At 57.2% G+C, this 13208-nt stretch overlaps 1 protein-coding gene across 7 annotated transcripts in view, besides 4 other annotated features; it reads left to right on the forward strand.

Annotated features, from left to right (window-relative positions):
• Nucleotides 1-13208, forward strand: part of GAREM2 (GRB2 associated regulator of MAPK1 subtype 2) — a 31217-nt gene that overhangs the window by 4316 nt on the left and 13693 nt on the right. For 4 of the 7 annotated variants that reach the window (NM_001168241.2, XM_011532565.4, XM_011532564.3 and 1 more), the window contains 4 exons: nucleotides 5564-5694; nucleotides 6830-7873; nucleotides 8786-8955; nucleotides 9828-12260. In NM_001168241.2, coding sequence (NP_001161713.1) covers nucleotides 5564-5694; nucleotides 6830-7873; nucleotides 8786-8955; nucleotides 9828-10854 — 2372 coding nt within the window. In that variant the 3' untranslated portion in view covers nucleotides 10855-12260. Of the gene's footprint in view, nucleotides 1-3312; nucleotides 5091-5563; nucleotides 5695-6829; nucleotides 7874-8785; nucleotides 8956-9827; nucleotides 12261-13208 lie in introns of those variants that run through there. The other 3 variants (NM_001191033.2, XM_006711951.5, XM_011532567.4) reach the window with 3 other exon arrangements.
• Nucleotides 1007-1922: an enhancer, noted in NCBI's record as "H3K4me1 hESC enhancer chr2:26401279-26402194 (GRCh37/hg19 assembly coordinates)". NCBI's record gives its function as "activates a minimal SCP1, AML or CMV promoter by ChIP-STARR-seq in primed H9 embryonic stem cells {active_cell/tissue: H9 hESC(primed)}" and the evidence as "EXISTENCE:reporter gene assay evidence [ECO:0000049][PMID:30033119]".
• Nucleotides 1643-1762: a silencer, noted in NCBI's record as "silent region_11269". NCBI's record gives its function as "represses an Ori minimal core promoter by ATAC-STARR-seq in GM12878 lymphoblastoid cells {active_cell/tissue: GM12878}" and the evidence as "EXISTENCE:reporter gene assay evidence [ECO:0000049][PMID:35858748]".
• Nucleotides 1923-2838: an enhancer, noted in NCBI's record as "H3K4me1 hESC enhancer chr2:26402195-26403110 (GRCh37/hg19 assembly coordinates)". NCBI's record gives its function as "activates a minimal SCP1, AML or CMV promoter by ChIP-STARR-seq in primed H9 embryonic stem cells {active_cell/tissue: H9 hESC(primed)}" and the evidence as "EXISTENCE:reporter gene assay evidence [ECO:0000049][PMID:30033119]".
• Nucleotides 7399-7638: a silencer, noted in NCBI's record as "silent region_11270". NCBI's record gives its function as "represses an Ori minimal core promoter by ATAC-STARR-seq in GM12878 lymphoblastoid cells {active_cell/tissue: GM12878}" and the evidence as "EXISTENCE:reporter gene assay evidence [ECO:0000049][PMID:35858748]".

Raw genomic sequence — 13208 nt, forward strand, 5'->3', positions numbered from 1 at the left:
TCATCCTCATGGCAACCTGATGAGAAAGTCTTGTCAACTCCATTTAACTCACCAGGAAACTGAGGCTCCAGGAGTTTCAGTGGCTTGCCCAGTGCCATGTTTTTTATTTCATTTTTTGTGTTTTTAGAGATGGTCTCCTTATGTTGCCCAGGATGGTCTCAAACTCCTGGTCTCAATGAAGCCTCCTGCCTCAGTCTCCCAGAGTGCTGGGATTATAGGTGTGAGTCACTGGGCCAGGCCCAGTTCTGTGTGTGTGTGTGTGTTTTCTGTTGCTCAGGCTGGAGAGGAGAGGCGCCATCTTGGCTCACTGCCTCCGAGGTTCAAGGGATTCTCCTGCCTCGGCCTACCAAGTAGCTGGGATTACAGGTGCCTGCCACCACTCTCTGCTAATTTTTGTATTTTTAGTAGAGACAGGGTTTCACCATGTTGGCCAGGCTGGTCTCAAACTCCTGACCTCAAGTGATCCGGCCGCCTTGGCCTCCCAAAGTGCTGGAATTACAGGTGTCAGCCACCAAACCCAGCCCAGTTCTGTGTTTTTAACTGCTGTGCCCAGCTGCTCCTGACAACCCCCTCACCAAGGCTGGGAAGGTCCCATTGCTTCTTCACAGGTACCCCTGCCTCCTCTGGCCCTGGGTCTCCCTGAGCCAGGAGGACAGGACTGAGCCCTTTACAGAGGCTTCTGTCTTTTACAGCCTGTGAAGTTGGTACCTGTGTACTCCACCCCCCAAACCCTTAAAAGATGTGGAAACTCACTCAGATTTCTTTCTGACCTGGGGTTCTATCTTGGGCTTGGAGCCCACTGGGGGCCTGCTCAAGCTAGAAATTTCCAAGCTTGGTTCAGGGGGAGGTCCCAGGTCTTCTTGGGATAAAAAAAGCAAAAGTTGCCTGAGCAGTGGCTCTTATATGTAATCCTAGTGCTTTGCTGAGACAGGAGGCTCCTTTGAGGCCAGGAGTTCCAGGCCAGCCTGGGCAACATAGCGAGAACAAACAAAAACAAAAACAAACAACCCCCCCCCCCAACAACAAATAAATTAGCTAGGCGTGGTGGCGCAGGCCTGTAGTCTGGCTACTGGGGATACTGAAGCCAGGTGGGGGGGATCCCTTTAGTCCAGGAGGTTGAGCCTACAGTGAGTTATGATGGTACCCCTGCATTCCAGCCTGGGAGACAGAGCAAGATGGTGTTTCTAAAATAAATAAAAATTAAAAAGAAAAGAGAAAAAGAAAGGTTGGGAAAATCCCTCACTGAAAAAAACGTGACTTTAGGGACTTCATTTTGGTTGTGTCATTAAAACTCTGGGAACCCAAGGCACAGTCTCCCAGGGAACCGTGGGTCCGGGGGCTCCTAGCTCTTCCTCCCATCTCTCTGGCGCCCCTGCGTGCCTGTGTACGGTGGTGGTCTTGGAGGGGTGGTGGTCTTGGGGGGCGCGGCCCCAGCCCCATCTTTTCGCGGGGCTGCTTCTGTCCGCCCGCACGGGGGAGGGGAGGAGGAGGCGGAGGCGGAGGCAGAGGCCCCTAGGAGGGCGAAGGCCGGCGGGTTAACGAGGAGGCGCTGAGTGCACGGCTGGGCTCCACGCTGATTTCTCCTAATGAATTAATAATGGCGCTCGGGCGGGCGGGGGTGGCCGGCTGCGGACCGCGGAGAGAGCCGAGGGGAAGGCCGTGGAGGGAGGAGGACGGCGACTCGCGCCGGGTGGGGCTGAAGGCACTGCGGGGTGACTCGGTCTCCAGGCTGCGGCGCTCTGCTCCGGGAGTCAGGGAGACCTGGCCTGGCCCCGTACTGTCCCCCGTCCCAGCCCCCGCCCCTGGCCCTGCGGGAGGGGCCAGGCGTCTTCCCTGAGCATGGTGCCACTTCCCCAGTGTTGGCCTTGTTTCCTGCTCAGCATTTGGCAGATGCGCCTCTGGCCCAACTAGGATGTTTCCATTTTACAGACGGGAAATCCGAAGCCCAGAGAGATTAAATAATTTGCCCAAGGTCACACAGCTGGCTAGTGGCAGGGTGGGATTCAGCCAGATTTGTCGCACTCCAAAGCCTGAGCTTTTACCCACGTTCTTTACTGAGTGTGTGCTGTGGGGCAGGCATGGAGAAGGGTGGTCAGCAATCCCCTGCCACAGCCCTCAGGTGCTTGGGGCTGGAAGGGAGGAGCGAGGCAGCCATGTGCTCTGAGGGCAAGGACAAGGAGGAGGGGCAGGTCAGGATGGAGCAGGTCCTTAGAGCCGTGGGGGACCTCAGGTTCCATACAGGGGGAGGCAGGAGAGGAAGCCGCCCCTGGGCTGGCGGGGAGGAAAAGGCTTCCAGGGTCCAGAGCATCACTCCCTGGAGGGCTCCCTTCCTTCCTCCCGCAGTAATGACCGGCGCTGGGCTTCAGGCTGCCGCGGAGGGGGATGGTGCTGGATGCCATGGTTACATCGATCTTTCCTGCCACATCCTCCCCCAGCTCCAGCCCTGACTTGGCTCCAAGTCGCCCCACAGGGGGCAGTGGGCATTGCTCCCTGCCTGGCTACTTGTGGTTGGGGCAGGGGCGGGGGTGGGGGTTGTGTGTGGACTTGGGGGAGGAGGCGGGAGTGAGGGGAGGAGGCTACTCAGTGCCTGCAGTTCCTGCTTCCCAAGTCCTAGACCCCTGCTTCTTGCCTGCCCCCCTCCACATTTTTCCTCTGTTGCCCTCTAGGGCTGTGGCACTTCAGAGGCCTCTTCCCAGGAGGGTCCCAGGGCGGGGAGGGCAGGCCTGGGGGCTCCCCCGCCAGCGTTCTCCTAGTCATTTCCCCTTGTTCTGGGCTCTCATTTCTCTCCCTGCTCCGTGATGATGCTTCAGGCCCTGACCTCTGCTCCTCTAACCCTGCACCATGGGTGTCTTCATCTGGGTCTCTCGCTGGGTTTAGGGGTCTCCAGGAACCCCCAGCACTGAACACACAATTGTGTGTGTGTTCATGCTAGGAGCACAGTGTGGGCATTTTTCTGGGATGAACATCCCCAAAGGGTCAAGCCCCCTGCTCTTCCTCTTCCCTGAGCCATCTCACTTGCCTCACAGCCGAGGCTGCCACCTGTGGGCTGGTGACCTTCAGTCTATTTCACTGGCCAGTCTATTTCACTGGTGGCACCCACCCTAGGAGCACCACCTGAAGGCCCCTTTCTTGGCCTCTCCAGGATCTGCCTTGGCCCCACAACATGTTTCTTCTGGGTTCCCAGTTTTGGTTAACAGCTCTGCCATCTCCTTTTCTTTTCTTTTCTTTTTTGAGACAGAGTCTCGCTCTGTTGCCCAGGCTGGAGAGCAGTGGTGTGATCTCAGCTCACTGCAACCTCTGCCTTCCAGGTTCAAGCGATTCCCCTGCCTCAGCCTCCCAAGTAGCTGGGACTACAGGTGTGTGCCACCACACCCAGAGAGTTTTTTGTATTTTTAGTAGAGATGGGGTTTCACCATGTTGGCCAGGCTGGTCTCAAACTGCTGACCTCAAGTGATCTGCCCACTTTGGCCTCCCAAAGTGCTGGGTTACAAGCGTGAGCCACCGTGCCTGGCCTGCCATCTCCATTTCTGACCAGGCTGGTGGCCTGAGTACATCATCCTGAGTCCCTTCCTTCCCCACCTCCCCCTTCTTCTGTCACCCAAGCCTGCTGGGTCTCCCTTCCCAGTATCTCTTGGTCTGTTTCTGCTATTCCCTAGCTCTTCTCCAGAACCCCTTACTGGTTTGTTTACCTGACTGGTCTCCCGGTTATTTTAATAGAGCTGAACCTGGATCATGGTATTTCTTTGCTCGAAACACTCCAGTGGGTCTCATGTTGTACAGAATAAAGCTTTACTGCTTTAGCAAGGCATTCAGAGCCTTTCAAATCCCAGTTGCTGTCTGCATCCCCTCCTGTCCTCCCTCTCCCTAAGTCCTTCCCTGCAGGCACGCACCATCTGGGGCAGGTGGTCTGCTTTTGTGTCTCTGTGTCTGTGTTTACAGTGTTTCTTCCACAGGGAATGCCCATTCTGTGAATTCCCTTTGATTCTTAAGGTGCAGCTCAGTGATCCTCTCAGATTCCGCCAGGCAGGTTTTGCCTACCTAGCCGTCTTGTAACTCTTTTGTCACAAGTCTGTTGTAGCACTTATCACATCCTGCCACCATTGGGTACTCATCGTCTCACCCATTATATCTGGATTTCTTTAAGGGCAGACTGTATTTTACACAGATTTGTACCCTCTGTGTGGCCTACCATAGTGTCTGACACATAGTGAGTGCTCCATCAATATCTGTGCAATAATTAAATGAATGAACTGTGACAGAAGCAACTACCACAGGGGCTTCAGAAGCTAAAGAAGGCCCAGCGCGGTGGCTCACACCTGTAATCCCAGCACTTTGGGAGGCCATAGCAGGAGGATTGCTCGAGCCCAGGAGTTTGAGACCAGCCTGGGCAACATCATGAGACGTCATCTCTAATAAAAATAAAAAATTAGCCAGGCATGGTGGCACATGCCTGTGGTCCCAGGTACTTGAGAGGCTGAGGCAGGAGGATCCCTTGAGCCCAGAAGGTTGAAGCTGCAGTGAGTTGTGATCATGCCACTGTACTCCAGCCTGGGCGACAGCAAGACCCTGTCTCAAAAAAAACACCCAGAGGCTAAAGAGTCACCTTGTCTTCTCTCGACTTGTTCCCTCACCTATTCATGGCTCTCTTCCTACTGTATAAAGCTTGAGAAGAGGCCATCCATCAGATGCCAGGGCGGCTCAGAGCTTGTTTTGTGCTCATGTGGGTATGCATATAACAGGTGTCTGGCCAGTGAGGTGAGAGAGCTTACACAGGGATGTCAGCTTCACAGACTGGCAATCACTTCCGTAAAGTCTGTGTCTCCTAGGGGCATGTGCTGAGCTTGGCAAAGCACGCAGCCCCAGACTGCAGGTTGGGAAGGCCTACTCTCAGGGAGGTGGCTTTGCTGGGTTCAGGTCAGAGCCTCTGGGAGAGTAGGATTGGATATTGGACCAGGGCAGGGTGTGGGAACAGAGCTGGGGTCAGAGTGGTTCTCCCAGGGCCTTCAAGGGCTGGGCCAGGCCCTGGTTGGCCCAGTGCCACCTCCATGCGGATCAGCAGCCCAGGGCGATGCACAGGATGCCAGATCCAGGTAGGGCCCATGATCATCTGTCCCTACCCCCTCAGATGAGGACCCAGAGGCCCAGAGAGGGAAAGGAACTTGTCACGGCAAGTCAGAGGTCAGGCTGGGACAGAGCAAGGAGCCAGCATCCCGGTACCACACTGATAGTTGATCAGAGGCCAGCTGTGTCCACATGTTTGGGGCTATTTGCAGTTGGGTTTCTCTGGGCAGGCAGCCGCTAGCCTCACTGCATACCCACAGGCTCTCTATGGGGGGAGGGCTGGGCTATAGTTGCTAGGGATCTGTGCTCACCTTGCTGAGGCTGGAGCCAGATGACCAGCCCCCTTCAGCCCATGCCAGTGGAAACCTGCCCTTTGGCCCTCCTGAGTTCCTGAGGGGCTGGCCGAGATTATGGTAGCAAGTGACCATGAAGGCTCTTGGGACGCAGGCTAGACTCCCAGCAGGCAGGCCCACTCCAGCAACTTTTGTCACCCACTATGCAGGGAAGTTCAAGCTCCTGGAACAGGCCCGGGATGTGCGGGAGCCAGTGAGGTACTTCAGCAGCGTGGAGGAGGTGGCCAGTGTCTTCCCTGACCGCATCTTCGTGATGGAAGCCATCACCTTCAGCGTCAAGGTCAGTCACTCCCTCACCAGGTGTGGTGTCCCCACACTACTCCTTGCCTCAGGGGCAACCCTGACTCTGGTTGGAAGGTTGCCCTCAGGATCCAAGAAGGAGAGCGGCTCCTGGGGACCCCTTAGGGGTCTTTGGCACAATCAAGCCATGTCAGAAGGGTGGGGAATAGGACCCACTGGGCTGAAGGACTTCCTATGAAAGGTAGTGAAGCAGGAGCGGGTGTCTGGAAGGGTCATGTTCTGACTTGGAGACTTTTCAGGGCAACCTGTCCCTAGCTGCCCCAGCACCCACTTGTAGAGGCGGTGGTTGTGGTGAGCAGGCAGTGTAAATAGACCCCTGCTGTGGGGTGGGAGCAGTGGCTCATGCCTGTAATCCCAACACTTTGGGAGGCTGAGGAGGGAGGATCAACTGAGGCCAGGAGTTTGAGACCAGCCTGGGCAACATGGAGAGACCCTGTCTCTACAAAAAATGTTAAAAAATTAGCTGGGCATAGTGGTGCGTATCTATAGTCCTAGCTACTTGGGAGGCTGAGGCGGGAGGACTGTTGCCAGGAGTTTGAGGCTGCACTGAGCTGTGAATGTGCCACTGCCCTCCAGCCTGGGAGACAGAGCAAGACCCTGTCTCAAACAAACAAACAAACAAACAAAAACAACTAAAAGCAGTCCCTGCTATGTACAGATAGTGCTGTTCTGTTTACAAACCCTTTTCTTATCCATCAATTCATTTCTCTTCACTTAGCCTTGTTGGATGGGTAGGGCATTATGATCGCCCAAATGGTAAAGACAATGATGATAAAAGTCGCCATTTACTGCATACTTTAAAATATGTTGCTGATCCAAGTAGTGGGGAAGAAAAGAAAAATATGTCACTGCACAGTCTTTTTAATCCTACAGCAGTTCTTCGAAGTAAGAGTTATCAGATATGGTCGCTAAGGCGTGGAGGGGCAACTCATTTAAGGTGGCACAGCTGCTAGTGGTCTCTCCAGGATGAACGTGGATCTCCTGGCCTACCATCTAGTCCGAGCCCCGGGAGGGCGGAAGAGGAAGGCTGTTTTCCCTTTCCAGTCTCTGGGAGCTGGCCGTGTGGCTTTCCCTGGGACCTGGCTAAGGCCCTGCCCTGTCTCTGGGATCCCCAGGTGGTGTCGGGCGAGTTCAGCGAGGACAGCGAGGTGTACAACTTCACGCTGCATGCGGGCGACGAGCTCACTCTTATGGGCCAGGCGGAGATCCTGTGCGCCAAGACCACCAAGGAGCGCTCGCGCTTCACCACCCTCCTGCGAAAGCTGGGCCGGGCCGGGGCGCTGGCCGGGGTGGGCGGCGGCGGCCCAGCGAGCGCGGGGGCCGCGGGAGGCACTGGCGGCGGGGGCGCCAGGCCGGTCAAAGGCAAGATGCCCTGCCTCATCTGCATGAACCACCGCACCAACGAAAGCCTGAGCCTGCCCTTTCAGTGCCAGGGCCGCTTCAGCACTCGCAGCCCGCTGGAGCTGCAGATGCAAGAGGGCGAGCACACGGTGCGCGCCATCATCGAGCGCGTGAGGCTGCCGGTGAACGTGCTGGTGCCCAGCCGGCCGCCGCGCAACCCCTACGACCTGCACCCGGTGCGGGAGGGTCATTGCTACAAGCTGGTTAGCATCATCTCCAAGACGGTGGTGCTGGGGCTGGCGCTGCGCCGCGAGGGCCCGGCGCCGCTGCACTTCCTGCTGCTCACGGACACGCCGCGCTTCGCGCTGCCGCAGGGCCTGCTGGCCGGGGACCCGCGCGTCGAGCGCCTGGTGCGCGACAGCGCCTCCTACTGCCGCGAGCGCTTCGACCCCGACGAGTACTCCACGGCCGTGCGCGAGGCGCCAGCGGAGCTCGCCGAAGACTGCGCCAGCCCGCGCCGCGCGCGCCTCTGCCTGCCCGCGCCGCGCGCCCCCGGGCTCGCCCGCGCCCCCGGCCCGCTAGCGCCGGCTCCCGCCGGCGAGGGCGACCAGGAGTACGTGAGCCCCGACTGGGCAGCCGCGCCCGAGCCCGCCGCGCCGCCCGCCGAGATCCCCTACGAGGAGTTGTGGGCGCACCAGGGGCCCGAGGGCCTCGTCCGGCCGCCCCCAGGGCTCGATCTCATCTCCTTCGGGGCCGCGGGACCGCCGCGTCGGGAGCCGGAAGCGCCGCCGCCTCCAGTCCCTCCCAAATCCGAGGCGGTGAGTGAGCGCGCTGGGGGCCGAGTCCCGGGTCCAGCCAGGGCCCAAAGCCCGTTCTCCTGGGCCCCGGCCCCGGAGTATGTGGCAGACGAGGTGTCTTCCTCGGCGGGGTGGGGAAGGGGAGAAGGAAAGGGCAGAGGCATGCCAGGCAAAAGCATTTGTAGTAAGGGGCACTGGGGCGGGCGGTGGCGGGAGAGCTGTGGGACAGAGATGCGTGTAGGTCCCCAGCCTCAGAGGATTTGAGAGGAGCCCCGAAGCACTGTTACCCAGAAGGTACCACAGAACAGGGGTCCTTTAAGTTGTTGCGTGAAAAGAAGGTTCCTTGGCGAAGTAAGCTTAGAAATGCTGTGAATGATTCCCAGCCCTTTTTCCCTCCTCATATTGGAGTCACAGAGCATTGGTAGATTAAAGGCTCTGAGAAGTCCTGCACTAAGGAATCCTGTTTATCAGAACATTTTCTCCCTGCCCGTAACACCCGTCAGCATCCCATGGAGTCCTCTTTGGGGTACACGACTTGTAGGGAGGGATGCAGGTGGCAGACGCTTCCTTCCCTCTGTCCCTTCGGCTTTCCTTTGTCCTCTGCTTTCTCTCCTTTTCCTTGAGGAGGGAGCACGTCTGCTTAACCTGTTTTGATCTACCTTTGTGTTCTTTTTCTTAACATCCATGATGGATTTCCAAGGAACAGGAAGGAGGCTGTGGGACAGGGTGTGGGTGCGTGAGATAGGCTGGGAAGGCTAGGAAGGGTGGGGTGGCTGGCTGACTGGATGAGCAGTTGGGGTGCAAGGCAGCCTATTGGCAAAGTGGGGCAAATGTCAGGCCCAGACAGCCCCCTCGCCCAGCTGCTTGGGAAGGGGAAGATAAGGAGTGCCAGCTGTTTGGAGTCGAGGTGGAGTCACCGCCCTCTGCTTGTAGGTGAAGGAGGAGTGCCGCCTGCTCAATGCCCCTCCAGTGCCTCCCCGGGGTGGCAATGGCAGCGGCCGGCTCTCCAGCAGCCCCCCGGTTCCCCCTCGCTTCCCCAAGCTGCAGCCGGTACATTCCCCCAGCTCCAGCCTCTCCTACTACTCCTCTGGCCTCCAGGATGGGTGAGTCCCTGCCTTCCCTTGGTCCTGAGTTCTAAGGTAGATCAAGGCAGGGAAGGGTGAGGAGGGGGAACTACAGTGCTGAGGAAGAGGAAGTCTTGAGGCCTGGGAGATTCCCGAGGGTGCAGCTCCCTGTGCAGTGGCTCAGGGATTGGCACTGCTGTCTGGGTGTCTTGGGGCCTGGGGCCCAGTGGCCTGTTCTGCCCACTTCAGCTTCTTTCTCTCTTAAATGTTGAGGAACGGATGGGAGCATTGCCCTGGTCCCCTCAAGGTGGGGACTTTGCTGCAGGATAGAGAGAAGAGAGCTCCTTGCTGTTTTGAAATTTTGATTAAGTTCAGGCCAGGTGCGGTGGCTGATGCCGGTAATCCCAGCACTTTGGGAGGCCGAGTTGGGTGAATCACTTGAGGTCAGGAGTTCAAGACCAGCCTGGCTAACATGGCGAAACTCCATGTCTTCTAAAATACAAAAATTAGCCGGGCATTACGGCACATGCCTGTAATCCCAGCTACTCGGGAAGCTGAGGCAGGAGAATCGCTTGAACCCGGGAGGTGGAGGTTGCAGTGAGCCAAGATTGCACCACTGCACTCCAGCCTGGGCAACAGAGCGAGAACACCATCTCAAAAGAAAAAAAATTGAAAGAAAATATTTTTATTAATTTCAGTTTCGTTTCATTTTTCCCCTGTGTTTTCTGACCTGGGCTGGGGGATGCTGGAAGGAAGAACACGGCCATTCCGGAGGGTCTTGGGCTGGGGCTGGGGTGCAGGCCCGTGTTGCTGAGGTCATAGTGGTGCTTGGTTGCAATGCATGTGTGACCCTATCGGATTCCCTCTCAGCCTCACCTGTCCTATGTGTGTGTGTCTGTCTCTGTCCACAGGGCGGGTTCCCGCAGTGGCAGTGGCTCCCCATCGCCGGACACCTACTCCCTCTATTGCTACCCATGCACCTGGGGAGACTGCAAGGTGGGCGAGTCCTCTAGCCGCCCAGCCCCCGGTCCCCTACCCTCAACCACACAGCCCAGCCAGGCCTCCCGGGCCCTCACAGAGCCTCTGAGCGGTCGAGCCGCCTCCCTTCTGGGGGCTGACACCCCTGTTAAGACCTACCACAGCTGCCCTCCTCTATTCAAGCCCTCACATCCCCAGAAGCGCTTTGCTCCGTTTGGAGCTCTCAACCCTTTTTCCGGGCCTGCCTACCCCTCAGGCCCTTCAGCGGCCTTGTCTTCTGGGCCCAGAACCACCTCGGGTCCTGTGGCTACCTCTGGCCCTGCGTATTCCCCAGGCCCAGCCTCGCCAGGCCAGGCCTATTCAGCTGCTCCCCCCTCCTCCTGCGCCCCCTCCTCCTCCTCTTCTTCTGAATGGCAGGAACCAGTCCTGGAGCCCTTCGATCCCTTTGAGCTGGGGCAGGGCAGTTCTCCAGAGCCTGAGCTGCTGCGTTCTCAGGAGCCCAGAGCAGTGGGGACACCTGGGCCTGGACCCCGCCTTTCACCACTTGGCCCCTCCAAGGCCTTTGAGCCTGAAGGTTTGGTGCTGCACCAGGTCCCCACCCCACTGTCACCAGCTGCTCTGCAGGGACCCGAGGCGGGAGGAGCACTTTTTCTAACCCAAGGGCGCCTGGAAGGGCCTCCTGCCAGTCCCCGGGATGGAGCCACAGGCTTTGGAGTCCGAGATGCCTCCTCCTGGCAGCCCCCTGCTGACCTGTCTGCACTCTCCCTGGAGGAGGTCTCTCGCAGTCTGCGTTTCATCGGGCTCTCAGAGGATGTGGTGAGCTTCTTTGCCCGAGAACGCATCGATGGTAGCATCTTTGTGCAGCTCAGTGAGGACATCCTGGCAGATGACTTCCACCTCACCAAGCTGCAGGTCAAGAAGATCATGCAGTTCATCAAAGGCTGGAGGCCCAAGATCTGAACTGCCCAGCTGGAGCTGCACAGCTGGAATGCTGGTATGGGGGCCCCAGGTACAGCACTCCGGAGGAGCAGGTGCTGCCTGCAAGAAGGATCTATGTCGAGACTGAGGCTGCTCAGCAGCCACTGGGTGGATCCAGGGGAGATGCATGTGGAAATGTGGTCCTCTGGGGTCAGACCCCTGCACGGGACATCTTGCCTTTGAGTGTGCAGAGTACATGGGGAAGGGGCTGGGGGCACCACTGTGTACCTGGGCCCAGTAAGGCATTTGCCGTGATTCCCACAACGGGGTCAAAAGCTGGCCTTCAGGGTGACCTAACACCACCTCATGCCCTGCTATAGACCTTCACAAACGACTTCCACTGCTGAAGCCTGTAGGCTCTGTTTAGAGACAAGAAGATGGCTGGTAATTTAAGCACCGATTTCCCAAGTGCCCACTCTCCTTTGTGCTCTGTTGGCTTTTGGCCTAAAGCTGCCCCAGAGTGAGGGTGTAGATGTCTGTGTCTGTGAGATGCCTTTCCCTTCCCCCTCTGCTCCACCGTGGTTGAGGGGGGTGGGGCCTGGCCCCGCACACAGGTGAGTCGTGTACAAGCCTAACCCATGGCACCTCAGAGGCTCCACCTGTGGGTCCTGGTTCATGGGTGACAACTTTGGAAGAGCACAGCTCTGCAATTGACCCGACCCACTTATCTAGTTAGGAAGCCAGACACTGCCCAGATGACTCTAGCACCCTGGCTTCTGCTCTGACTTTACTGCAGCTAGTCATCCATCCGTCAGGTGGCGTTCAGTCTCAGAATACTGATTCCGTGGAAGAGCAGGTTGATTTAGGTCAGCTTCTCCTTGATTCTAGAAGCAAGCGGTAGTCAACCACCTCCAATTCCGCCAATCTCTTGCCCCCATCATTTGTCTCTGACAATACTTGGTGTTTTTCCCTGGTTTTCTGTCACTGGCACAGGAGGGTACAGTTGGGAGAGTGCGTTCCTGGAGCTCAGTCCTGCATTTGTTCACGTGCCTCACAGCAGGCCTTTGTGCCCTTGAATCTCAAACATGGGGATCTGCTTGGTACCCAGAGCTCTGGTCATTGTGTCCAACCACACACCCCACCCCATCCGTGTCCTCCATCTCACCCAGAACCACAGGGTGCCCACTAGTGTCAGGGCCCAAAGTGCCAGCCTTCTCTTCTGCCTTACCTAGTCTACCTATTTATTTCCTCCACTTTTTATCTTAAAAGTAGCTAAGCCATGCTGGTGCCCATACTCCAAGCAGGCTGCCTCAGCTCAGAGAAGTGGTCAGAGAGTAGAGCACAGAACCTGTGATGTGGGGACATTTGGTTTTCTTGCAGATCATTTAATGAATCCTCAAGGACTAATGAAATAAATGCTAGACTGCTGAAGATGAGTACAAGTGGCATTCTGGGTGCCAGCTGCTTTCTTCTTTTGAAAACAAGGCCATGGGGACCCATGGGCACAGTGTATATGCCTTCTGGCAGGAGAGGACTGATGGAGGAATGATGTGGGTGTGTGGCCATTCCCATGTCTGTGGAGGCGGCTGGTGGCAGCCTTCATTCCCTTCTGCAGGGCCCTCGCCAGCCCCTCCCTACCCTTCAAGAACCCCCACCCCAGCTTCCACTAGTTTCAACATAATTCACACCTACCTGGTGTTACTGAAGGGAAAGACCCAGGCTCAAAGCTGAATGCCACCAGCCAGGGCCCAAGCTTAGCTTCCTGCATTGGCAGAATGCCGGCTTCAGGCTCTCTCAGACCAAATTTGGAAACCGGTTAATGGCTTTGGTGCAAGGGATCAGCTCCCTACTCTGGTCATCTGAAAACCTCAACTCAGAGGTGACTTGGTTTTAGAGTCTGGCTTCCTAGTGACCAAGCAGAGCCAGACCTGATCTCCTTGCCTGCCAGTCCCAGCTACAGAGCTGGGACCAGGGACATATTTGAAGTACAACTGGAGCAGAGGCAGGAGTAACTGGTAATATCTGACAATTTAGAATGCAGAATGTGATGGGACTGGAATTACGATTCCGCACACACTCAGCGTGGATCCTTCTGCCAGACCCAGTTAGCCCCAGTGCTGTTTACCCAGACTGGGCACTGCTTCTGTAGGAACTTTCCATCCCAGGGGGTGGGGTGGGGAGGGGCTGAAGCTTTGGGGGAGTGCAGGTGCTGTGGGGGTCAGCACTCCTCATGCTGCTCCCGTGCTGCCTGATTACCGCACAGGCATTTCTGGGGCAGCCCTGCTATGCAGGATCTCCGAACATCAAGGGAGATGTCAGCGCCTCTGCTTAGCACCAACGTTCCCACAACCATCCCAAGAAGCACCTATGAATGAGGCACACCCAGAAAAGAAATG

This window comes from Homo sapiens, chromosome 2, assembly GCF_000001405.40.
Source record: "Homo sapiens chromosome 2, GRCh38.p14 Primary Assembly".
Taxonomy (NCBI): Eukaryota; Metazoa; Chordata; class Mammalia; order Primates; family Hominidae; genus Homo; species Homo sapiens.